The 1,768-nt window shown below is 38.9% G+C and overlaps 1 annotated feature.

Annotated features, from left to right (window-relative positions):
- Window positions 715-1,261: an enhancer, noted in NCBI's record as "NANOG hESC enhancer chrX:45645628-45646174 (GRCh37/hg19 assembly coordinates)". NCBI's record gives its function as "activates a minimal SCP1, AML or CMV promoter by ChIP-STARR-seq in naive H9 embryonic stem cells {active_cell/tissue: H9 hESC(naive)}" and the evidence as "EXISTENCE:reporter gene assay evidence [ECO:0000049][PMID:30033119]".

The raw sequence follows: 1,768 nt of genomic DNA, 5'->3' as shown, positions 1-1,768 counted from the left end.
ATGTAGTGAGTGAAGGCCAGTAATGGAGCCTACATACCCTAGTGCCTTATGATGCGCAGGATCCCCGCCCCCCCGGAACTTTCCCACCAACCAAGAGTGTTCTGACCCCATATGGCCACAGTGCTGACATTGAGCAACAAATGGCTTAAAATTAACACAGAAAAGAAATGAAAACCAAAGTCCTCCCTGCTGCATTCACTCGTATGGAAGATACATGTCAATTTAGCCTGATTCACTCATTCCTGCAAATAGGTATGTCTAAATATTACTTCTAGACATCTCAAGGAATAGAAACTATAGCTTACTAACAAAAAGGTTTTACATGTGGTTTCAGAGATTCATTGTTTTTTAGGTTTTCACTTTTAGGATATACTTCTTTTTCTCAAGCCTAAATTTCTATAGTGTCATTTTGGCCTCTTCCATTTCCAGTTGAGCTTTCTGTCATGGAGGTAGTAATTAGCTGGTAGCCATTCTGCATGAAGTATTCTTTGTCCAAGTTCTGTAGAGGCTGCTATTAAATTGCCCCTGAGCTTTAGATAGCATCGACACAGTAAGGAGTGCTACAGTGTATTAACATTATTTGCATCCTTACTAAACATATAAAGATAGTGGGGTGGCAAAGACAGAATATAATGCTCCCTAAGAATACTGCCTTGTTGGCATCCAATGGCATTATATGGGGTTCTTGTTAATAAAACACTTAAAGGTCTATTTTTACATGTTTAGATTGTGCCTCAGGACTTGAGTTTGAGTTGTGAAATGCTTAGCAGTTAGCTGTGCTCCCATCTGCCATCCCAACCTTGCAAAAGGGAACAGAACCATGGTATCTGGGGCAATACATCATTCTTAGACATTTCTGGTGACTTATCATCAAATGTCAGGGCACTAAAATCAATGAAGAGATGGGGTAGAGCTGGTACGAGAGAAGAAACCTGGAAAGCAGAGAAAGGGAAGGTTTGTGAAGAATGGCACAGTAGGGAAGAGTGTAAAACAAACCAACAGTGATTGATTCCACATGCCAGAAATCCTTTTAAGCACCTAGCTAGGGAGCACCACATTGCTTTAGGCAGTAGGGATGCAGTAGAGAAGGTGAGGCAAGGACCTGGCCCTGGTACGGAGCTTATATTCTAGATGGATGAAATCTTAATAGAAGGTAACTGTGGTAAGTGAATGAAGGAGATGAAGCTATGATGTGGGAGCATTAACAAGGAGTGGGCTGTGTGAGGAACCTGAAGAAATTTGAGACGAGAGAACAGAAGGGATTTAGCTAGAACTGGAGGGGCAGGTAGAGGGAACAGCAAATAGAACAATCCTGGCTGCTGATTTTATAAAATGAAACATTTTATCACAGTCCTAAGAGAAGCCTACATGTCTGCTTCTCAGTTTTAATTGTGACATGTGCTTTAGTTACCTGGAAAATCACTGCCTTCTTAAAATTATATTTTAAAAAGATGCCACCACCATCTCTACCAAAAAAAAAGTATATGAGGGTATAAAATATCATGAATTGGTAATATATTTTCAATTATAAGCCCTAAAGTTCAATATTTAAAAATGCAGCTCTCCCCCCATACCTTTTTAAAAAATGTGGAGTTGTAGATATACAGATTTTTGTTGTTGCGGTTCATTGAATATTAGCCTTTACCACTCTTTTTGGTACCTTCTCTCACCTCAGGAAGTTAAAAAAAGATCAATAGGAAAATAGATAAGCAATTGAATATGTAAATATTGGCCTGAAAATATTTACATATTCAATTGCTTATCTATT

This window comes from Homo sapiens, chromosome X (assembly GCF_000001405.40).
Source record: "Homo sapiens chromosome X, GRCh38.p14 Primary Assembly".
Classification (NCBI taxonomy): Eukaryota; Metazoa; Chordata; class Mammalia; order Primates; family Hominidae; genus Homo; species Homo sapiens.
The sequence above is the reverse complement of the archived record's forward strand: the minus strand, read 5'-3'. Positions and strand labels throughout refer to the sequence as shown.